The sequence below is a fragment of the Homo sapiens genome, chromosome 1, assembly GCF_000001405.40.
Source record: "Homo sapiens chromosome 1, GRCh38.p14 Primary Assembly".
In the NCBI taxonomy this organism is placed as follows: domain Eukaryota; kingdom Metazoa; phylum Chordata; class Mammalia; order Primates; family Hominidae; genus Homo; species Homo sapiens.
Window position 1 is genome coordinate 146,360,673 of NC_000001.11, and position 23,632 is coordinate 146,384,304.

Consider the following 23,632-nt stretch of genomic DNA (forward strand, 5'->3'; position numbering starts at 1 on the left):
CCTTACAATGCTAGCCAATGTTTATTATTGCTTTCTATGTGTGAGGAATTGTGTTAAACACTTAAAAAGATGTTATCCCTCATAATTATCATAACACCTGAAGAAGTAGGTGGGGTGATTTTCTCCAATTTAGATATTATAGGAACTGAAACACTTGCCCACTAAACAGGCAATTGAAAGAGATAGGATTTCTATAGAAAATTGCCAGCTCCACAGCTAGTGTTCTTATTCTCATCATTAGTGTTCCCTTAGTGGTTTTGATATTACACCTAATACTATTTAATACAAAATTAAAGCATCCACCCTATTCTGGGATTTACTGTCAAGAATAGAGCACTGAGCCTGATAAACAGTATCCACTTTGGAATGCATGTTTCTATCCAGCTACTTAATATGACATAAGTTCATTGGACATTAAGGCCAGATTTCTTGACATGCTTTACCCTCAAATTAACAAGTTTGGCTTATTCAATTGTGGACCTTTAACCCTTAGGCCAGATAGTATATGAGGCCTAGAGTAGTGGAAAAAGGTAACTGGATTTACAAAATTTGACTCTTCAAATTCTGTAAGAATTCAATATATTGAGGAAAGTTTAGGTGCATAGTAAAATTATAATTTCATATTGTTGCACAGACTCAGGCAGATGAAAGAGACTCCAATAGTGGTCAGGTAGTACCCACACAGTCAGTTGATTGTCTCTGTGCTGAAAGGATTTAAGAATGAAGAAGAGTTTGCTCCAATGTATGTTTCAATATCTCATTGTTTTACAATAATATTTGAAATAATACCTAGGAACCCAACTTACAAGGGATGTGAAGGACCTATTCAAGGAGAACTACAAACCACTGCTCAAGGAAATAAAAGAGGACACAAACAAATGGAAGAACATTCCATGCTCATGGATAGGAAGAATCAATATCGTGAAAATGGCCATACTGCCCAAGGTAATTTATAGATTCAATGCCATCCCCATCAAGCTACCAATGACTTTCTTTACAGAATTGGAAAAAAACTACTTTAAAGTTCATACGGAAACAAAAAAGAACCCGCATTGCCAAGTCAATCCTAAGCGAAAAGAACAAAGCTGGAGGCATCACGCTACCTGACTTCAAACTAGACTACGAGGCTACAGTAACCAAAACAGCATGGTACTTGTACCAAACAGAGATATAGACCAATGGAACAGAACAGAGCCCTCAGAAATAACACCACACATCTACAACCATCTGATCTTTGACAAACCTGACAAAAGCAAGAAATGGGGAAAGGATTCCCTGTTTAATAAATGGTGCTGGGAAAACTGGCTAGCCATATGTAGAAAGCTGAAACTGGGTCCCTTCCTTACACCTTATACAAAAATTAATTCAAGATGGATTAAAGACTTACATGTTAGACCTAAAACCATAAAAACCCTAGAAGAAAACCTAGGCAATACCATTCAGGACACAGGCATGGCAAGGACTTCATGTCTAAAACACTGAAAGCAATGGCAATAAAAGCCAAAATTGACAAATGGGATCTAATTAAACTAAAGAGCTCCTACACAGCAAAAGAAACTACCATCAGAGTGAACAGGCAGCCTACAGAATGGGAGAACATTTTTGCAATCTACTCATCTGACAAAGGGCTAATATCCAGAATCTACAATGAACTCAAACAAATTTACAAGAAAAAACAAACAACCCCATCAACAAGTGGGCGAAGTATATGAACAGACACTTCTCAAAAGAAGACATTTATGCAGCCAACAGACACATGAAAAAATGCTCATCATCACTGGCCATCAGAGAAATGCAAATCAAAACCACAATGAGATACCATCTCACACCAGTTAGAATGGTGATCATTAAAAAGTCAGGAAACAACAGGTGCTGGAGAGGATGTGGAGAAATAGGAACACTTTCACACTGTTGGTGGGACTGTAAACTGGTTAAATCATTGTGGAAGACAGTGTGGTGATTCCTCAAGGATCTAGAACTAGAAATACCATTTGACCTAGCCATCCCATTACTGGGTATATACCCAAAGGATTATAAATCATGCTGCTATAAAGACACACGCACACGTATGTTTATTGCGGCACTATTCACAATAGCAAAGACTTGGAACCAACCCAAATGTCCATCAGTGATAGACTGGATTAAGAAAATGTGGCACATATACACCATGGAATACTATGCAGCCATAAAAAAGGATGAGTTCATGTCCTTTGTAGGGACATGGATGAAGCTGGAAACCATCATTCTCAGCAAACTATCACAAGGACCAAAAACCAAACACCGCATGTTCTCACTCACAGGTGGGAATTGAACAATGAGAACACATGGATACAGGAAAGGGAACATCACACACTGGGGTCTGCTCTGTGGTGGGGGGCTGGGGGAGGGATAGCATTAGGAGATATACCTAATGTAAAAGATGAGTTAATGGGTGCAGCACACCAACATGGCACATGTATGCATATGTAACAAACCTGCACGTTGTGCACATGTACCCTAGAACTTAAAGTATAATAAAAAAAAATTAAAATATTCTGCAGTCACAGTGACTGTCTTGGCTTCTCTTAATTTATGAGGACCTTTGTCTTATAGACTCTTTTTTTTAAAAAAAGATGGGGTCTTGCTGTGTTGTCCATGCTGGAGTGCAGTGGCTATTCACAGGCTTGATCATTGCATACTACAGTCTGGAACTCCTGGACTCAAGTCTCCCAGTGGCTGGGAATACAGGTGAGTGCCTACCACACCTAGCCTGATTTACAGATTTTTGACATCTATTATAGTTAAATGTATTTTCAGCATTTGCATATTAAAGGAATAATATTGATGCTTAACTTCATTAGTGATCAGGGAATTCCAAATTTAAAAAAAATTTTTTCATCTCTTATAGTATATTTAAAAATTCATTGCTGATAAGGATTCAGGGACGCCAACATTGTACATTGGTAGTGAAAATGGAAATTGGAAACTTTCTGTAATCTGACAGTAATTATGTTTTTAAAAATCCTTTTGAACTTGCAGTTCTACTTTTGGGATTTGAATTTATGGAAAGTAAAGTGCCAGTGAGAAAGAATATTGTTGACCCTTGAACAACATAGGGTTAGGGGAGCTGGCCTCCCACACAGTGAAAAATCCGCATACAACTTTTGATTCCCCCCAAACTACTAATAACCTATTGTTGACCAGAAGGCTTACTGATAACATGAGTTACATTTAAGACATATTTTGCATGCTATGTGTATTATATACTGTATTCTTACAATAAACTAAGCTACAGAAAAGAAATTATAATCAAGAAAATTGTAAGGAAGAGAAAATATATGACCCATTCATTAAGTGGAAGTGGATCACCCTAAAGGTCTTCATCATTGTTGTCTTCGTGTTGAGTAGGCAGAGGAGGAGGAGGAGGAGCTGGTCTTTGTGTCTTAGGGTAGCAGAGGTGGAAGAGGGTGAAGGGATGGAAGGGGAAGCAAAAGAGGCAAGCACACTTGGTGAAACTTTACAAAAATACATCATTATTTCTGTCTATTTTGCTTTTTCATTTCTCTAAAAACATTTCAGTGTAGTACCTATCCGTCTTCCACCATTTGCTTTAGTTTCAGTTCCTGTATCATGGAACGGTCTATGTCATAAAAGAAGTCAAAAGTAGTCTTGAATAATCAAAGCTCTTTTGCCAGATTGTTGAATGCCAATTTGTTTTCTGGCACTGCTTTTCCTATGTCTTCTTCCTCATTATCTGGCACTGGTTAGGAAGCACTCATCTCCATGAAGTCATCTTTTGTTAATTCCTCTGGTGTGGTGTGTATTAGCTCTTAAATTCCTCCAAGATCCATATCTTGCAACCCTTCACTCCACACCTTTTTTTCCCTTCATATCCATACTTCTTTCCATGGTTTTCTCTAAATTGGGTTTGTCGTAATTCTGTAGCTATGCACAACATCTGGACACAAATTGTACTTTTGTCCAGCACGAATTTATTGTTTTGAGTTTCATGGTTTTCTGTATCAACTGATGACATCTTGAAAGGTATAAGCCTTCCAGACTTCCATGATGTTCTCTCTATTGGGTTTCTCTTTTGCAATGTTGACAAACCTTTCCATAGAGTGCCATATGTAGAGCCTTAAAGGTCCTTATGACTCCCTTATCTAGAGGCTGAAGTAGAGATGTGTTTGGGGGAAAAGGAGAACACTTCAGTGCCTTTGGTGTTGAACTCATGGGGTTCTGGGTGGCCAGGGGGCATTTTCCAATTAAACAACAACAACAAAAAACTTTAAAAAGCAGTCCCTTACTGGCAAGGTACTTCTGACTTCAGGGACAAAGCATTGATGGAACTAATCCAGAAAAAGCATTCTCATAGTCCAGGCCTTCTTGTTGTACAACCAAAAGACTGGCAACTAGTGTTTCTCTTTTCCCTTTCAAGACTCAGGGGTTAGCAGCTTTATAGTTAAGGGCAGCCCTGATCATAAACCCGACTACATTTGCACAAAGCAGTAGAGTTAGCCTATCCCTTCCTGCCTTAAATCTTGGTGCTTGCTTCTCTTCCTTACTAATAAATGACCTTACTAATAAATGATTCTCCTGCCTCAGCCTCCTTAGTACCTGGGACTACAGGTGCCCGCCATGACGCCCGGCTAATTTTTGTATTTTTATTAGAGACGAGGTTTCACCATGTTGGTCAGGCTGGTCTCAAACTCCTGATCTCAAGTGATCCACCCACCTCAGCCTCCCAGAGTGCTGGGATTACAGGTGTGAGCTACCGCGCCCAGCCCGCACCTGCAGCTTAATCCCATTTCGCTGGTGCAACTTCATCCTTCCGTATGCTCAGGCCAATAAACAGTACTGTAGGCTGGTCGTTCTTTGACCCGCATACATCCTATTGGTCGGAAAAATATGTTTTCTCTTTGGTTAACCGCAGACTTTGATATGCACACTCTTTCTTGGTCTGAAACCCACCCAATAGTCCCATACGTAGATTTTTGGATAAACATAGAAATGGACCCTTCTGATCTGAAAGTTTGAAACTCGATATTTGTTTTATTTGAGTTCCTTCCTTCAGGCCTCTCAAAAAAGATATCAAAGAACTGAAAGTCACCCAGACAATGAGATGCCGGACCCCTCATTCATCCTGATTGCTTCCTTGCCCCTCCCTAGTTCCTGTTTTCTTTCTTTTCTTTTTTCTTTTTTTTTTTTTTTCTTTTTGCGACAGAGTCTCCCTCTGACTCCCAGGCTGGAGTGCAGTGGCGCTATCTTGGCTCACTGCAAGCTCCGCCTCCCGGGTTCACGCCATTCTCCTGCCTCAGCCTCCCGAGTAGCTGGGACTACAGGCGCCCGCCACCACGCCCGGCTAATTTCTTTTCGTATTTCTAGTAGAGACGGGGTTTCACCGTGTTCGCCAGGATGGTCTCGATCTCCTGACCTCGTGATCCGCCCGCCTCGGCCTCCCAAAGTGCTGGGATTACAGGCGTGAGCCACCACGCCCGGTCTAGTTCCTGTTTTCTTACACATTGTCACTTTCTTTCCCTGCCATCTAAGCCTCTAGTTTTGGTTGGTCAGGGAGATGGATTTGAGACTGAGTTCTCATCTCCTCCGCTGCAGCACCCTATTAAAGCCTCTTCCTTGGCAATAACCGTCTCAGTGATCGGTTTTCTGTGTGGCAAGCAGCAGGAACCCCAGGTCTCTGAACTTTGGCAAAGGAATCTCCTGATAAAGGCGGGATCGATTTTACTGACCAAGCTGAAAACGATCAGACGTTTGAAAGCCTTAATCTCGGAGCCTGTCGGAGTTTGGTCTGCCCTTGAGGCTTTTCTTTGGGCCTACCAGTCAAAATCAGCCTGGCCAAACCTGTCTTCAAGGACCAGGGGCAGGGCCGGCTTCTCCCGCCGGGTCGGCAGCCACCTTCCCCTTCCCTGTGACTTGAAGAGAAGCTTCAGGGGGCGTTTATTCAATTTGCGAGGAGCCCGCGAGGCGCAGGTGCGCGGTGACTCTGTGGTTCCCACCTCACCCGCTGCCCTCTTTGGTCCTCTCGCTGTCACCGGCGGGCAGTAATGTTCCGGGTGAGCTAGGGCTCCGAAGACAGCAGGCAGGGAGGGACCAGTGGGTAAGCGCACCGCCCGTTTAGGTCCTGCGCAGGAGGGATCCGAAAAAGGTCTTGAAGAAATAGAAAGGGAGGGCCAGATGCGGTGGCTCACGCCTGTAATCCCAGCACTTTGGGAGGCCGAGGTGGGTGGATCACGAGGTCACGAGTTCGAGACCAGCCTGGCCAAGATGGTGAAGCCCTGTCTCTACTAAAAATACAACAAGTAGCCGGGCGCGGTGACGGGCGCCTGTAATCCCAGCTACTCAGGAGGCTGAGGCGGGAGAATCTCTAGAACCCAGGAGGCGGAGGTTGCAGTGAGCTGAGACTGCCCCGCTGCACTCTAGCCTGGGCAACACAGCAAGACTCTGTCTCAAATAAATAAATAAATAAATAAATAAATAAATAGAAAGGGAGAGTTGGAAGTAGATCAAAGAGAAGAAAAGAAATCCTAGATTTCCTATCTGAAGGCACCATGAAGATGAAGGCCACCTCTTCTGGGCCAGGTCCTCCCGTTGCAGGTGAACCGAGTTCTGGCCTCCATTGGAGACCAAAGGAGATGACTTTGGCCTGGCTCCTAGTGAGGAAGCCATGCCTAGTCCTGTTCTGTTTGGGCTTGATCCTGTAGCACTTGATTGTCTCTCCTGGACTTTCCATGGATTCCAGGGATGCAACTGAGAAGTTTATTTTTAATGCACTTACTTGAAGTAAGAGTTATTTTAAAACATTTTAGCAAAGGAAATGAATTCTGACAGGTTTTGCACTGAAGACATTCACATGTGAGGAAAACAGGAAAACCACTATGCTAGAAAAAGCAAATGCTGTTGAGATTGTCTCACAAACACAAATTGCGTGCCAGCAGGTAGGTTTGAGCCTCAGGTTGGGCACATTTTACCTTAAGCGCACTGTTGGTGGAACTTAAGGTGACTGTAGGACTTATATATACATACATACATATAATATATATACATATTTATGTGTATATATATACACACACATACACACACACACACACACACACACACACACACACACACACACGGTCTTGCTATCTTGCCCAGGGTGGTCTCCAACTCTGGGTCTCAAGCGATCCTCTGCCTCCCCTTCCCAAAGTGCTGGGATTACAGGTGTGAGCCACCTCGCCCAGGCCATTTTAATTTTAATTTAATACTTTTAATTTGAATACACAATCCAAAAATCATATAACAAGTACAGGAAACCCACTTTATGCCAAGTTTACAAAAACAGCAAATATATGTCAATGACAAAGCGTCAAAGTGGCAACATCCTAAAGTACTGAGAGAAAAAAAGTTATTCTAGAATTCTATGCCAAATTGAAATATCTTTCAAAAATGTGACTGAAATCAGGACATTTAAAGACATACAAAAAAATGACAGAATTCACCGAACCACACTACAAGAAATATTAAAGGAGTCCTCCAGGCCTAAGGATAAGGATACCAAACAGAAATCTGAACCTACACAAAGAAATGGAGACGACTGAAAATCGCTATGTACGTACTTGGATGTTGGGGTTTATAACATGTCCAAAATCAAATTCCCTGACAACACTAGCATAAAGGCCAGAAGGGGAGGTATAATGTCACTTGATGGCAGATGGATAAAGATGTATTCTAGGGACCCTAAAGCCATCACTGACATAACAAAAGAAAGAGTTACAGCTAATAAGCCAAATAAGGAAAGAAAATAGAATGATATATAAAAAAAAAACATGTAATCGCTGGGTGCGGTGGCTCATGCCTGTAATCCCAGCACTTTGAGAGGCCAAGGCAGGCAGATCACTTGAGGTCAGGAGTTTGAGACCGGCCTGGCCAAAACGGTGAAACCCCGTCTCTACTAAAAATACAAAAATTAGCCCGATGTGGTGGCTCGCGCGGACCTGTAATCTCAGCTACTTGGGAGGCTGAAGCAGGAGATTCGCTTGAACCCGGGAGGCGGAGGTTGCAGTGAGAGCTGAGATGGCGCCACTGCACTCCAGCCTGGGTGACAGAGCGAGACTCTGTCTCAAAAATAAATAAATAAATAAATAAACAAACAAACAAACAAAAACTGTGTAATCCCTATGCTGGAGCAACTGCTCTCCAGGCCTCTACCCTATAGAAATACACAAATGGCCAATGAGAAGTGTACAAGAATGATCACTGCCGCATTATTTGCAATCATAAAATAGTAGCGCCAAAGTAATTTCAAAGATACATGAAAATCGTTTTATTTATTTAACAAACACAAACAATTGAACAAACAATGGAAGCAAGTCCTTTTGCCTAAAGGAACACAAAGGGTCATGCGGATGTTGCTCCTCCAAGGATTTCGGTGTTCCCCAACGGCTAGTTTTGGGTCTAGTTCTTCTGGAAGATCTTATTCTTGGGGAGCTACAGGTTCTGGCGTTTGGGGCTCTTTCAGGTTCTATCTCCATTTTCCCCTCAATTCCTCCCCATTCTGCTATAATAAAAAAAAATTCTCACCTCCGGAAGATCCCGCCTGTGCCTCCCCGCCAGCCTTTCAGGAGGTCTGGACGTCTGGTCCACCGCTCCCCGGCTTCTTTCCCCGCTTTTGCTTTTCCCCTCCCCTGCTCCCGCCCTCCGGCCTCAGGACCCGACCACCGCCCAGCTGAGCCCCCGCGGCTCCACGGCGCAGAAGGTGCACTGGAGGCCCTGCCCGTTGCCGCCCCGCGGGGTGCCAAGAAGTCAACGTAAATAAATGCTTTGTAAAAGGAACTTCCCCATGGAAAAATCTCTCATGATTTCCATTCTCAAGGCTCTTCAAAGGACTAAAAGCTAAAAGGATGGATTCATTCGACAAGTCCTAGTCCTGCGCCCTGGTGAGTGCCAGACCCTGCTCCCCGCGAGGGGGACCCACGAGCCACCCTCACCACGATCCCTGCCCTGGTGGAGCCCCCGTGCGGAACACAGGATCCGAAGATGGCAGCGGAAGCTCCGCAGCGGCCCCAAAAGCGACTGGGCAGGGAGGGCACAGGCTCCCTCACTGGGTGAAGGCGGCGCAAAGAACGGGAAGAGCCATCCCGGGAGCCACCGGGCGTTCAGCCTCCCTAGGGCCCCCAGGCGGCTCGGGCCGGGGTCTCAACCGGGGCGTTTCCGGGGGTTTCTGAAGCAGGCGAGGGGCAGGGCGGGCGAAGGCCATTCGGCTATCCTTCTGGCTCCAGAATCTCCCAACGCGCAGGTGTCCAACGTGACCAGCGCGACTTACCGCTCCAATCTCTCCGGTCTTCCAAGGCCTTGCTCAGTCGTCCTGCTGGGAGGGCCCTGAGGATGCAAGGGACGGAGGAAGTTTCGTGCGTGCGCCCTTCCTATAGCGCCCAGTAGAACTGACAGTACCTGTCTCTGTGGCGCAATCGGTTAGCGCGTTCGGCTGTTAACCGCAAGGTTGGTGGTTCCAGCCCACCCAGGGACGCTTGTTCGAGCTTTTAAAGTATTCACGCATTGTCAATCACTAGATAAATGGGGAAGATTTTATCTTCCTGGAGTCCTAAGCCACTAATTTGTGACTTATCCATGTCAAGGGCCAGCCCACCTCCCCGACCGGATTCTTAACCGGGTATCTCCTGAAATCCTGGGTTTATACGTGTGTAACTCAGGAATCCTGAAACAGAGACCTAGGAACCCACTTCTGGTGTGATAAAATTCTAATTCAGTCCGTTATACGCTTAAACGAGTAATTTACATGCCTCCATTTTTTCATATTTTAATAATAGGAGGTCAGTAATATCCCCAGGATGTGCCTGGATTTACTGATTGCTCTATCAATAATGTGACCAGTGGAATCATTCATCATCATAGTGATCCTCTCCATCATTTTTGAAAAGAGTATTTTTCCTCAGTTTGTGCATGATTTATTTAACCCTTTTCAAAATGTTTTTGTTAGCCAGGCATGGTGGCATGTGCCTGTAATCCCAGGTACTTGGGATTCTGAGGCAGGAGAATCATTTGAACCTGGGAGGTGGAGGCTGCAGTGGAGGCTGCACCAGTGGAGGCTGCACTGCTACACTCCCACCTGGGCAACAGAGCGAGACTCCATCTCAAAAAAAAAATAAAAATAAAAAAATAAAGTTTTTGAGATGAGGTAGGTTTCATTGTTTTAGGATTACAAAGAATGCTGCAGCCACCTTTCTTGTACACATATCTTTGGTCATTGTGGAAATGTCTACACCGCAGATATTTCTATAGTGTAGGGAAGTTGATGCACTATTGCTACATTATAGGGTTTACATGATGCTTGTAATTTGAGTACATTCTGCAAATGTATCTTTCACGGGAGCCGTACCAAATAATATTCCAATAGCAATATTTATAGGAGGAAAAATGTGCAGAAGTGCAATTGAGCTTCGTGCCTCTCCATGGGGCCCATGTTCATAAAATGGTGGCATTAGCAATCATCTGAGAGTGGAGTTTGTGGCCCTCTGACATCAAAAGCTGAAGCAGAGGACATGAAAACCCTCACTGTGCATCCTCTCTAGTCTGGCCAGAATCATTCCTAGGTCGGTGGTCTCTTATCAGGAGGGAATGCTGCTTGCTTGTTTTGTCAAAATCACAAAACTGAGGAAAAGCATCAGGCCGTTGGTTGGTAACAGTGGTGAAGCAAGTCTTTCCAAAGGGCTGGTTTGTTGTTAACCCTTAGGGAAAAAAAAGCCTAATTCTTTTTTTTTGAGACGGAGTCTCTCTCTGTCGCCCAGGCTGGAGTGCAGTGGCGCGATCTCGGCTCACTGCAAGCTCCGCCTCCCGGGTTCAGGCCATTCTCCTGCCTCAGCCTCCCGAGTAGCTGGGACTACAGGCGCCCGCCACCACGCCCGGCTAATTTTTTTTATTTTTAGTAGAGATGGGGTTTTACCGTGTTAGCCAGGATGGTCTCGATTTCCTGACCTCGTGATCCGCCCGCCTTGGCCTCGCAAAGTGCTGGGATTACAGGCATAAGCCACCGCGCCCGGCCAAAAAAGCCTAATTCTTACCAGCTGGTGCCGTGCAGTTCCAGTCTCTTGGTGTCCCAAACAAAGAACTGTACATGACACACAAAAAGCAGCAAAGCAAAGCAAAAGTTTATTAAGCACAGTAACACTCTCAGAGTGGGGAGGGTGGGCTGACCTCTGGGAGATGAGATCAGTATTAGTTTGGTGTACTTGGGGTCTTTGTGTGTGTGTGTGTGTGTTTTTCCTTCTCTTCACAAGGATGCCTACTGTTTTTGTTTGTTTGTTTGTTTGTTTGATGAGGCGGAGTCTCACTCTGTCACCCAGGCTGGAGTGCAGTGGCACGATCCCGGCTCACTGCAAGCTCTGCCTCACGGGTTCACGCCATTCTCCTGCCTCAGCCTCCCCAGCAGCTGGGACTACAGGCGCCTGCCACCACGCCCGACTAATTTTTTTGTATTTTTAGTAGAGACGTGGTTTCACCGTGTTAGCCAGGATGGTCTCGATCTCCCGACCTCACGATCCTCCCGCCTCGGCCTCGCAAAGTGCTGAGATTACAGGCGTGAGCCACTGTGCCCGGCCAAGGATGCCTAATCTTTAGCCACTGTTTGCCTTTTGATTGATAGGTGGGTTGCTTAGTTACTTTGGCCCTTGTGTGCTTGAATGCTGCCTCCATCCCATAATTTTAAGTACATGCATGATATGCAGTCTGTATGCATGAGCTTTAATGAGCTGATTATCATATGAAGTCATGTTAAGGATACTTTTTCTCTCTAATGCACATGCCTATCTCTGAAGAGCTGCCCCTTTCCTGGTTTGGATCTTGCTGGCCATGGGGTCCTTGCTTGCTTTTTTTTTTTTTTTTTTAAGACAGGGTCTCGCTCTGTTGCCCAGTCTGGAGTGCAGTGGCATGATCTTGGCTCACTGCAACCTCTGCCTCCTGGGTTCAAGCAATTCTCCTGTCTCAGCCTCCTGAGTAGCTGGGAGTACAGGAGTGTACCACCATGCCCAGCTATTTTTTTGTATTTTTAGTAGAGAAGGGGTTTCACTACATTGGTCAGGCTGGTCTCGAACTCCTGACCTCGGGCGATCCACCTGCCTTGGCCTCCCAAACTGCTGGAATTACAGGGGTGAGGGGCTGCGCCCGGCCTTGCTTGCTTTTTTTAATCTTACTTTTTGTTTTGGCCACTCAACTGCTGCCTTTTATCTTGCTTCTTGCTCTCCCACCCCATCACCTTGCTTCTGTTTCTGCTTTTACTCATTCTGCCTTTTATCCAACTTCCAACTCCCTCTGCTGTTCTCCTGCCTCATAATGGCGGTTAGTGAGGGAGGGGTTTTAAGGGGGGCATGTCCGACCTCCTATCCTGTCATAGCCAGAAACAGCTTTCAAGGTTTCTCTGTGGTCCTGTCAGCCAAGAGGGAGTCCGTTCAGTTGGTTGTAGGGCCTAGGGCTTATTTTTATTTCTCAGTGCTGACAAGGGAAGGCTGGATTAATGCAGATTCTCTGCAGGTGTAAATTTCCCCTACAAAAGACAGTTTTGCAGAGTTACTTCTGTTTGCTGGCTCTCTGACAGCCATCTTAAAATATGTCAAAGAAATATATTCTGGGGTAAAATATTTTGATTTTTTCGTCTATCTATAGCTTCACCGTGCTGACAGCCTCCAATCCAAGCATACCTGAAGCCTTTCCTTTTAAAAAGCTTTCCCACCCTTCTGACTGCCTTCAAGTCTCTGCCAAAACACAAGTAACAGTGGCTGACTCCCTGCCATAGCAAGCTCAGAATAAATAGCCTTTGCTTTTTTTCATTTGGTTGGTCTTTGTTTATTTGCAGAAGCTTCAATGTAGAGTTGACAAGGACTCCATCTTTGACCAAACCTTAGTCAGTTTCCTCTGAGCCCTTTTCTCTATTAGTTCTTGGCCTGCCAAGTCCAGTTTTAGAAAAGAATACCATTGAGCCTAGTTTAGCAAGAGTCCTCCCAACCACCTTTGATAGCTAATCAAGTTCCTCTTAGTAATTTTCCATCCACTGACTTTCTTACCTTGCCGATTGGCTATAAATCTTCAACTCTTCTTGCTGTATTTGGAGTTGAGCTCGGTTCTCTGCTGGTCTCTCTTGCCTACTGCAGTACATACAATAAAATCCGCCTCATGCTTTTAACAGGTGTCAGGGTAGTCCCTCTGAAACTACTTTTGCAAAATTATGACAATCAGAGAAATCTGACATGGCTGACTCCATTTTGGTTCTAGCCTCACAGGCTAGCTGTCTTTGCTCATTCCTGTGCAATTTCTCCCAAGCTATCTTTGGGAAAAGTTGAGTTTATAGTTTAAATCAGGGGTCCCCAACCCCCAGGGCCACAAGACAGGTACTGGTCCATGGCCTGTTAGGAACCCAGCCAAACGGCAGGAGGTGAGCTGCAGGCTTTGGAGCATTACCACCTGAGCTCCGCCTCTTGTCAGATCAGCATCGGCATTAGATTCTCGTCGGAGCTCGGACCCAGATTGCACACTCCTTATGAGACTGTAACTAATGCCTGATGACCTGAGGTGGAACAGTTTCATCCGGAAACCCCCTTCCATGGAAAAATTGTCTTCCATGAAACCAGTCCCTGGTGCCAAAAACATTGGGGACAGCCAGAAAGGTGGGTTTAAATGATAACCTTCCCCAAAACTAAATTACCCCTGTAAAACTAATGAAAGGCCACCAAGTTAGGAGGATGAAAGGGACCTGAATTCTACTAAGATGTATGCCTCGTTAAATAATTACCAGCCATTATTCCAGAGGTCACAAGATTTACAGCTTCCCCAATTACCACTGTGAAGAACATCACTATTGCAGAACCTAAGACTGGCCTCTTGAGATGCCTTTTCAGGCTTTTGCATTTCTGACTACTGGATGTCACCATTTGGCCCGCAAATCAACCAGTCCCTTAGCTCCCACCCAGAAGCTGACTCAATGCAGGAGGGCCATTTTCCACACCCCTGTGATTTCATCCCCAACAATCAGCACTGCCCAAACCCTGGCCCCCTCCCCACCAAACTGTCTTTGAAAAAACCCTTACCTCCAAGCCTTCAGTGAGATAGATTTGAGTAATAACTCCGTCCCCCACATGTTGTGGCTGGCCTGTGTCAATTAAACTCTTTACTGCAATGCCATGGTCTCCATGAATTGATTTTGTATGTACAATGGGCAGGAAGAACCCATCAGGCAGTTGCACCTGCAGGATGGTGCCAGTTCTTTCCACGAAGGCTGGTCAGATACCCAGAAAGTATTTCTCCACTACTACCTGGACGATGTGTCTCTCTGTCAGTCTCCAGGGAATGGGGCCTGGATCAAGTATTTAGTATTCAGCAGTTACTATACCGTCACCTAATCCCTCATTTTCAATATTTTGCCATGCCTTCCAGTGGCCTAACTGGCCACCATGCCACAGAATCTTTACTTTATGCTCTCCAGAGGAGACCTCTCCATTCAATGTTTTGTGATTTGAGCAATGGAATAGAATCTGATACTGGTGGCCTGGGGAAGGTCCCCAGACACTGGTGGGATCTCGACCCCAGCTGTGGTGTCCAGGCTCTTGACACCATCTGGAGAACCAAGTCAAGGATGAGTCAGCAAATAGTGAAAGAAGAGATGTATTGCAAAGCAGAAAGTACACACTCAAGAAAGGGGAGTTCGGGCATACCCGAGAGAGAACAATGGGTTCTGGGGTTTCATCTCGATGGGTTTCTTTAACCAAGGAGTGGAATATTCGTGAAAATTCCTGGGTAAAGGTGGAGATTTCTCGGAACTGTGGTGCCATCCATTTTTACATCACATATTGGTCTCAGAACTGTCATGGCACTGGTGGGTGTGTGATTTAGTATGTTAATAAGCGTATAATGAGGGCCTAGGTAAAACCTACCTCAAATCTAGCACCACATTGGGTCCAGTCAGTCTTAGCCAGCTTGGTCCACACCCTGGTTTTTCAGCGTCTTATCAGCCCATAGCCTCAAGTCATGTAAATCTGCTGCCTAGAATTTGTTACCCTGCGGCCACCCTGTATTATTCCTGCCTCAAATCTACTTGTAAATATTCAAATGGTCTTTGACTTGGATTCCAACTTTACTTACTTCACAGTGTTTCCTGCGTTATAATCCAATGTAAGAAAAGATGATCCAGACATTTGTTAAACATCTCAAATAAGATGTATCCCAGGTATTTGTGTCAAATTTGGATTATTTTGGTTTTGTCTTTGCAGAATATAAAAAACTAACGTGAGGTAAGCACTAAGGTCTGGAGATGGCTGTGCAAGAGATGACAAAGTCCAACACCACGCTGGAGAGTGTCCAATCATCTCTTCTGGGGCAGCATATTTTTCTACAATACTGAATTTGGAAAACAACAGCAACAACAACAACATCAAAAGCAAACAAATAAACAAACAAAAACCTACAAGATTCATGAAACTGGACAACTGTCTTTATAACATTACCAGTGATAAAACCAGTAAGGAAGGCTGGTTTGCAGTCATCTGAGAAGCCTCTTTCATTTCATAAATATGGTTTCTCTCTGACATTGAACGGCTTCCAATTTCAAGCGGAATGCTACATGACAAGGATAAGGATGTGAAGAGAACCGGTTTCTTTTGTAATCCTAAACGTTCTCGTCTGAGAATTAAAAGCCATTATTTGAAGAACGGTGCCCAGGCTCCAGCTGGCCACCGAAAGGTTGCTCCGCAGCGCAGGCTAAGGACCAGCTTCTTCGGGCGAGAACAGATGCCGGGGCGGGAGGGAAAAAGGGAGAGACAGACGTCACTTCCCCCTGCCGGCTCCGGCAGCGGGTTGGTAGGCTGAGCGGCAGAAAGGCAGACGGGGACTGGGAAAGGCACTGTCGGTGACATCACGGATAGGGCGACTTCTATGTAAATGAGGCAGCGCAGGGGCTGCTGCTTCGCCACGAAGGATTTCCCGTGCCGTGGGAGCGGGTTCAGGACCGCTGGTCGGACCTGAGAGTCCCAGCTGTGTGTGAGGGCTAGGAGGGCTGGGGGTGGGGGGGGGTGGGGGGGGGGGGTGCGCGGGGCAAGTGACCGTGCGTGTAAAGGGTGAAGCGTGTGAGGCTGTGGCGGGGCGGAGGTGCAAAAGCTCATACTTACCTGGCAGGGGAGATACCATGATCACGAAGGTGGTTTTCCCAGGGCGAGGCTTATCCATTGCACTCCGGATGTGCTGACCCCTGCGATTTCCCCAAATGTGGGAAACTCGACTGCATAATTTGTGGTAGTGGGGGACTGCGTTCGCGCTTTCCCCTGATTTTTGTAGTTTAAAGAACAGTCTGCACGGCGAGGGTTACTTGTTTTTTTTACTGGCTTGTGCTTTACTCTTAATCGTTTCTCTCACAGTCGGAGGTTGAGGAATAGTAGTAATATGTCGCTTTCTCCCCGCCTCGGGAGAAATAAGAAGCGTCGACCTTTACACAAGCTAGCTAGCGCGAAGGCCGCACAGCTCTTCCTTTATCTACGCGGGGCTGCTTTTTGCAGAGATTTGTCTGTCCATGGTCTGCAGTCTCTTGGGTTCTCAGGGTCTGTGAAAATCTACGTGTTTTTCCCTAACCTCCAGTCACATTTCACACAGCGTCTGCTTCTAGCCGCAGCCCCCTCAGGAGTTTGTAGGATTTCTGTGCTATCGGGGAATGTGTTCTCACCTCATAGAGCCGGGTACAAACTACGCAGGCGGGGGCTGTTCTTTGGGATGAAAGCAGGGCCTTTGGGGCTCTTAGCGCGTCCCCGTTGGGTTGTAGACATAACACGCTTACTTTGCGGAGTGGAACGGCTCTCCCGGAGCCCAGGTGTCCTAACGCAATTCATCGAGGCCCGCAGGTCAGAACCGCAGTCTCACCTGTCTTGGCCGAAATGCGCTGCGATCCTCCCTGAAATATAAGGCGGGAAGTTTTATGAGGAGACGGGTCCAGTTTCCCTACTATCTCCTGCCGTTTACATATCTAGTCTTTCTTCAGACTTTATTTAAGCGACAGCTTCTTGTTTGATGTCTCGCTTCCGCATCCCACAGCCATTGCCAGGCAGCTTTCTAGATAGCACCCCGACCCATCCTTCCCACCCCCAAGCAGCCCTTTCCTATTTCTGGCGCCAGTGTCCTCCCCTCTTCCTCTTTCTTCAGGCCCTCGCTTATCACCTTCATGGACAGAAAATACTTAGCTCTCTCTCAACCTGCAGTTTGCACCTGACACGCGTCAGTACCCTGGCAAATTCCTTAATACCGCTTCTCAAATGACACTGTAAATTCATCTCTTTTTTTTTTTTTTTTTTTTTGTTTTCACGGAGTCTCGCTCTGTCGCTCAGGCTGGAGTGCAGTGGCACGATCTCGGCTCTCTGCAAGCTCCGCCTCCCGGGTTCACGCCATTCTCCTGCCTCAGCCTCCTACCAGGAGCTGGGACTACAGGCGCTGGCCACCACGCCCGGCTAGTTTTTTGTATTTTTAGTAGAGACGGGGTTTCACCGCGTTAGCCAGGATGGTCTCGATCTCCTGACCTCGTGAACCCTCCCAAAGTGCTGGGGTTACAGGCGTGAGCCACCGCGCCCGGCAAATTAATCTCTTTTTAACTCCCAGAAGTATCTAATTGGTTTTGTCCCTGCACTACATGAATACTACAGAAGAAAACCCCAGGCCTAGCGATGGCGGATCTGGGCATTGTGCCAGCCTCTCCCAGGGTATGTTTTCTGACCTCACCTACTTCTGATCAACTGAGGTCAGGAGTTCGAGACCAGCCTGACCAACATGGTGAAACTCTGTCTCTGTTAAAAATACAAAACAAAACAAAACAACACAAAAAAATAGCCAGACGTGGTGGTGTGCGTCTGTAGTCCCAACTACTTGGGAGGCTGAGGCAGGAGAATCGCTTGAACCCGGGAGGCGGAGGTTGCGGTGAGCCGAGATCGTGCCGTTGCACCCCAGCCTGGGCGACAGAGGGAGACTTTCTCTAAAAAATAAAAAATAAAAAACAAAAACAAAACAAACAAAAAACAAAAAAACTAGTCCATCTGAGACATATTATTGGAGACAGTAGAATCCTGCATCCAACAGGCACTTGGTGCAGATCTGAACCCATTGAGCTATTGGCTCATGTTCCCTCTGTTCTATTAAGTATCATGAGCAGAAATTGAGCTCTTTGGCTTTTACCCACTAAGTATGGCTGTAGGACAGGTCTCTCTCTCTCTCTCTCCCTCTCTCTCTCTCTCTCTCTCTCTCTGTCTCTCTCTCTCTCTCATTTTTGCAGCATTATTTTTTGCCATCAGTGTGGGTTTTTGGTTTTGATGTTATGAAGTGAATTTCTGGGGACAATCTCTGTTGGGTGGTGTTGACAAGGATCCAGTCCCTGTTTGGTAATACATGACAGCTAAGCTGCTCTGTGAGTCTTTTTTATTGTCTATTTATTGTCCTGAGAATAATGGTATTTCCTGATATTTGAGACTGCAGCAATGATGAGTTGTTCATATCTTGTCTTTCCAATGTTTGTTAAAAATTTTATGGGCCCAATAGTTGTCAATATCTGCAAGAGTGGCATCTCTATTACAAGAGTGATCTTACTACTCAATGTCCCCCCTCCCACCCAACTTTGTTCCATAGGAGCTCTTGGCTTTAACAAATTTACTATATCTAAAAGACATCTTAGCACAGGAAGAACACTAAATCTGTAGCATGTAAGGAGCAGTTTTCTTTGATTGGTATATTCAGGTTTCTAACCAGCTGAAAAATTCAAATACATGTCCTTTAAGGATTAAGTTTAAACCACACTACAGAAAGGAGAGAAAAGACTTATATGATCATATGTAAGCAATGGAATCAGCAATATGAGCACTTTTCACAACTATACAAATCAAATTTAATAATCTCCAGAACATTAAGGAAGTTCAGCCCTTAATGAAAATGAATGAAAAGAAATTATTCGCCCACTGTCATATGCCCTGGAAAGAGAATGTCCTGCCGGACTCAAAAGGGTATCACAATATTACTCAGATTTTCAGCAACGAAGGCCCTCTGAGGATTTAATGATGTTAATATTTTCAGTTTATTTCCTTCACTGATAAACATTGTTAATAGATACCATTGCCTCTGTTTTCACCTTAAGTGATGTTACTTAGCACAATTCGTTTCTTTAGAATGCCCCCTAGTTTGGTGGAAGGAATTTTCTTGCTTTATTAATATAGGATATTTTCTCATGAAGCAAACTGGCATACTCTTTCAGTGAAGTGAATAGACAAATTAGGTCTCTAAAATTTTAAAGGAGTCACTGCCCCAATTATCTTAGGAACAATAATAATCACTTATATAAAATTAAAATAAGAAAATTAAGCCAGGTATGGTGGCTCATATCTGCAATCCCAGCACTTTAGGAGGCTGAGGAGGGAGGATCAATTGAGGTTAGGAGTTGGATACCAGCCTGGCAATATAGTGAAACCCCTGTCTCTACAAATTTTTAAGTATTAGCTAATTTTTTAAAGTTGGCCAGGCATGATAATGCATGACTATAATCTCAGCTACTTGGGAGACTGAGGCAGGCTGCAGTGAACTATGATTGCGCCACTGCCCTCCAGCCTGGGTGACAGAGTGAGACTCCCAACTCAAAAAAAAAAAAAAAAAAAAAAAAAAAAAGAAAAGAAAAAGAAAAAGAAAGAAAATTAAGAATTTGTTGAAAATTGTTTTACTACAATGCTAGGCTGCATGTCTTGCACCTGTACTCCCAGCAACTCAACAGGCTGAGGCAGAAGGATTGCTTTAGGCCAGCAGTTGGAGACCAGCTTGGGCAACAGGGCAAGACCCCATCTCTAAAAAAATACAAGGCAAGCTGAGCCAGGAGGATTGCCTGAGCCCAGAAGTTCCAAGCTGGTCAGCTATGATAGCCCCGCTGCACTCAAGCCTGGATAACAGAGCAAGACCCTGCGCCTTATTTTTTATCTTATTTTTTTTTTTTTACTACTTATGCTTATTTATTTGTTTTTGAGACAGAGTCTTGCTCTGTAGCCCAGGCTAGACTGAAGTGGTGCAATCTCAGCTCACTGCAAGCTCTGCCTCCCAGGTTGAAGCTATTTCCCTGCCTCAGCCTCCAGAGTAGCTGGGATTACAGGCGCACGCCACCACACACAGCTAATTTTTATATTTTTAGTAGAGACGGGGTTTCACCATGTTTGTCAGGCTGGTCTCAAGCTCCTGACCCCAAGTGATGCACCTGTCTTGGCCTCCCAAAGTGCTGGGATTACAGGTGTGAGCCACCTCGCCCAGCCTACTTATGCTTGAAATGTGAGGTTTCATTAGGGAGAAATTTTCTTGTTGAATTTCTAACATGAAAAAAATAATAGATTTAGCAGTAGATTAAATTAATGGTCTTGATAGTTTGGTACAATAAAATAAATGGAATGAAGTTGACAGCAGAGAGGAATCTTTGATGCTTTTGAACAATTTAAATAGTGTAAGTATTGTGGGGAAAAGAAAGAGAGATCAGACTGTCACTGTGTCTATGTAGAAAGAAGGAGACATAAGAGACTCCATTTTGTTCTGTACTAAGAAAAATTCTGCCTTGAGATGCTGTTAATCTGTAACCCTACCCCCAACCGTGTGCTCCCTGAAACATGTGCTGTGTCCACTCAAGGTTAAATGAATTAAGGGCTGTGCAGGATGTGCTTTGTTAAACAAATGTTTGAAGGCAGCATGCTTGTTAAGAGTCATCACCACTCCCTAATCTCAAGTACCCAGAGACACAATACACTGCAGAAGGCCGCAGGGACCTCTGCCAAGGAAAGCCAGGTATTGTCCAAGGTTTCTCCCCATGTGATAGTCTGAAATATGGCCTCGCCGGAAGGGAAATACCTGACCGTCTCCCAGCCCGACACCCGTAAAGTGTCTGTGCTGAGGAGGATTAGTAAAAGAGGAAGGCATCTGTCTCCTGCTCATCCCTGGGCAATGGAATGTCTCGGTGTAAAACCCGATTGTATATTCCATCTACTGAGATAGGAGAAAACCCCCTTAGGGCTGGAGGTGGGACATGTGGGCAGCAATACTGCTCTTTAAGGCATTGAGATGTTTCTGTATATGCACATCAAAAGCACAGCACTTTTTTCTTTAGCTTGTTTATGATGCAGAGACATTTGTTCACATGTTTTCCTCCTGACCCTCTCTCCACTATTACCCTATTGTTCTGCCACATCCCCCTCTCCGAGAAACACCCGATAATGATCAATAAATACTAAGGGAACTCAGAGACTGGTGCCGGCGCGGGTCCTCCGTATGCTGAGCGCCGGTTCCCTGGGCTCACTTTTCTTTCTCTATACTTTGTCTCTGTGTCTCTCTCTTTTCTCAAGTCTCTCCTTCCACCCGACGAGAAACGCCCACAAGTATGGAGGGGCAGGCCACCCCTTCATCTATTTAATATGTAAACGATGAAAACGTTTATTACATTATTATTTGCTTATTTATGTATTCATTTTGAAACGGAGTCTCACTCTGTCACCTAGTCTGGAGTGCAGTGGTGCAATCTTGGCTCACTGCAACCTCCGCCTCCTGGGTTCAAGCAATTCTCCAGCCTCAGCCTCCTCAGTAGCTGGGATTACAGGCACACACCACCACGCCCGGCTAATTTTTGTATTTTTAGTAGACACGGGGTTTCACCATGTTGCTCAGGCTGGTCTCGAACTCCTGACCTCGTGATCCACCCGCTACGGCTTCCCAAGGTGCTGGGATTACAGGCGTGAGCCACCGTACCTGGCCCATTACGTTATTTTTTTAAAAATCAATGTGACTCTTTTGACAAATTAGAATGGCTCAATAATCTTGGTTACGCTGGGCACGGTGGCTCACGCCTGTAATCCCAGCGCTTTGGGAGCCGGAGGTCAGGAGTTCGAGATCAGCCTGGCCAACATGGTGAAACCCTGTCTCTACTAAAAATACAAAAATTAGCCGGGCATGGTGGCGGGCTCCTGTAATCCCAGCTACTCAGGAGGCTGAGGCAGAAGAATTGCTTGAACCTGGGAGGCAGAGGTTGTAGTGAGCCAAGACCGCGCCACTGCACTCCAGCCTGGGCGACAGAGTGAGACTCTGTCTGAAGGAAAAAAAAAAAAAAAGAGAGAGAGAAATTTGGTTTTAGAACAAGACAAATTAAATGGGAGACTTACTTGCAATGAGACCTAGAAATTTCCAAATTTCTAAATTTCTAAAATTTCTAAAAGAACTGAGAAAATTGCGCCGGGCGCGGTGGCTCAGGCCTGTAATCCCAGCACTTTGGGAGGCCGAGGCGGGCGGATCATGAGGTCAAGAGATGGCGATCATCCTGGCCAACATGGTGAAACCCCGTCTCTACTAAAAATACAAAAATTAGCCGGGCTTGATGGCGGGCTCCTGTAGTCCCAGCTCTCGGGAGCCTGAGGCAGAATTGCTTGAATCCGGGAGGCGGAGGTTGCAGTGAGCCGAGAGCACACCACTGCACTCCCGCCTGCCAATAGAGCCAGACTCCATCTCAAAAAAAAAAAAAAAAAAAAAAGAACTAAGAAAATTGCCTCCATTGAGGAAGTAAGCTTAAGGAGGTAAACTGACACGTTTTCTGAATTGAGAAATATTGAGGAGGCTTTGTCTCTTTCGCCTCCAACTGCTCCTTCTCCTCCTGCCCCTGCACCTGCATAGTCTTTCTTACCTGAGCTTTCCTGTCCTGCCTTGCCTCTTCTTCCATCACCATCACCTGAGGAAAGTCCCCAGGGCTCTGGCCCCTTCCCTGAAACTTCTGTTCTGACAGCCCCTTTCAAGGTAAAACCCAAACCCACAGGAAGAGGGGAGCCTACCATTGTGTACACCGCTTCACCAAAATGTGAATTAAGAATATTATAGCCGGGCGCGGTGGCTCACGCCTGTAATCCTAGCAGTTTGGGAGGCGGAGGCGGGCGGATCACAAGGTCAGGGGATGGAGACCATCCTGGCTAACACGGTGAAACCCCATCTCTACTAGAAATACAAAAAATTAGCGGGGCGTGGTGGGGGGCGCCTGTAGTCCCAGCTACTCAGGAGGCTGAGGCAGGAGAATGGCGTTAACCCGGGAGGCGGAGCTTGCAGAGAGCCGAGATCGCGCCACTGCACTCCAGCCTGGGCAACAGAGCAACACTTCATCTCAAAAAAAATAAATAAATAAAAATAAATAAAAAAAAAATAAAGGACTTCCCTGATCTAAAGTTAAACACATTTCGTTCTTCTATTTCTAAAGCAGGCTCCAAGATCCTATAGGCTTTGGCAGAAAATTCGACTTAACTGTCGAAACCTTTGAGCCCAAATATTCTGACGTTTATCAATTAATTCACATTCTGGTGAAGAAGGCAAGGCCACTAACTGGTTGCAAAAGGCAAATTGGAAGGATTTTCAAGCAGAACATGAAAGGTTCACATTTTAGCCAAATATGTGCATGTTGCCATTCCCCAGGTCCTTCCTAAAAATATAGATTGGAGGATAATTCAGCAATGTACTAAAAAGCCAGACAAATCTGTCTTTGCTTACTTAAAATGGTTTGAGGGCCAGGCGTGGTAGCTCATGCCTGTAATCCCAGCACTTTGGGAGGCTGAAGCAGGTGGATCCCTTGAGGTCAGGAGTTCGAGAC

General features: G+C 45.4%; 1 long non-coding RNA gene, 2 other non-coding genes and 1 pseudogene across 6 annotated transcripts in view, besides 1 other annotated feature; 2 read left to right on the forward strand and 2 right to left on the reverse strand.

Moving 5' to 3' along the window:
* Positions 1 to 15,890, reverse strand: part of SEC22B4P (SEC22 homolog B4, pseudogene) — a 61,006-nt pseudogene extending 45,116 nt beyond the window's left edge.
* TRN-GTT24-1 (tRNA-Asn (anticodon GTT) 24-1) lies at positions 9,429 to 9,502 on the forward strand. The gene has a single exon. It is a non-coding gene; the product is annotated as a tRNA-Asn (tRNA).
* Positions 16,081 to 16,360: a silencer, noted in NCBI's record as "silent region_1276". NCBI's record gives its function as "represses an Ori minimal core promoter by ATAC-STARR-seq in GM12878 lymphoblastoid cells {active_cell/tissue: GM12878}" and the evidence as "EXISTENCE:reporter gene assay evidence [ECO:0000049][PMID:35858748]".
* LOC124904613 (U1 spliceosomal RNA) lies at positions 16,135 to 16,298 on the forward strand. The gene has a single exon (XR_007067091.1). It is a non-coding gene; the product is annotated as a U1 spliceosomal RNA (small nuclear RNA).
* Positions 16,141 to 23,632, reverse strand: part of LOC112268274 (uncharacterized) — a 43,044-nt gene continuing 35,552 nt past the window's right edge. For all 4 annotated transcript variants that reach the window (XR_002958622.2, XR_007066567.1, XR_007066568.1 and 1 more), the window contains one exon: positions 16,141 to 16,915. This is a non-coding gene — a long non-coding RNA (uncharacterized LOC112268274). The remainder of the gene's footprint in view (positions 16,916 to 23,632) is intronic.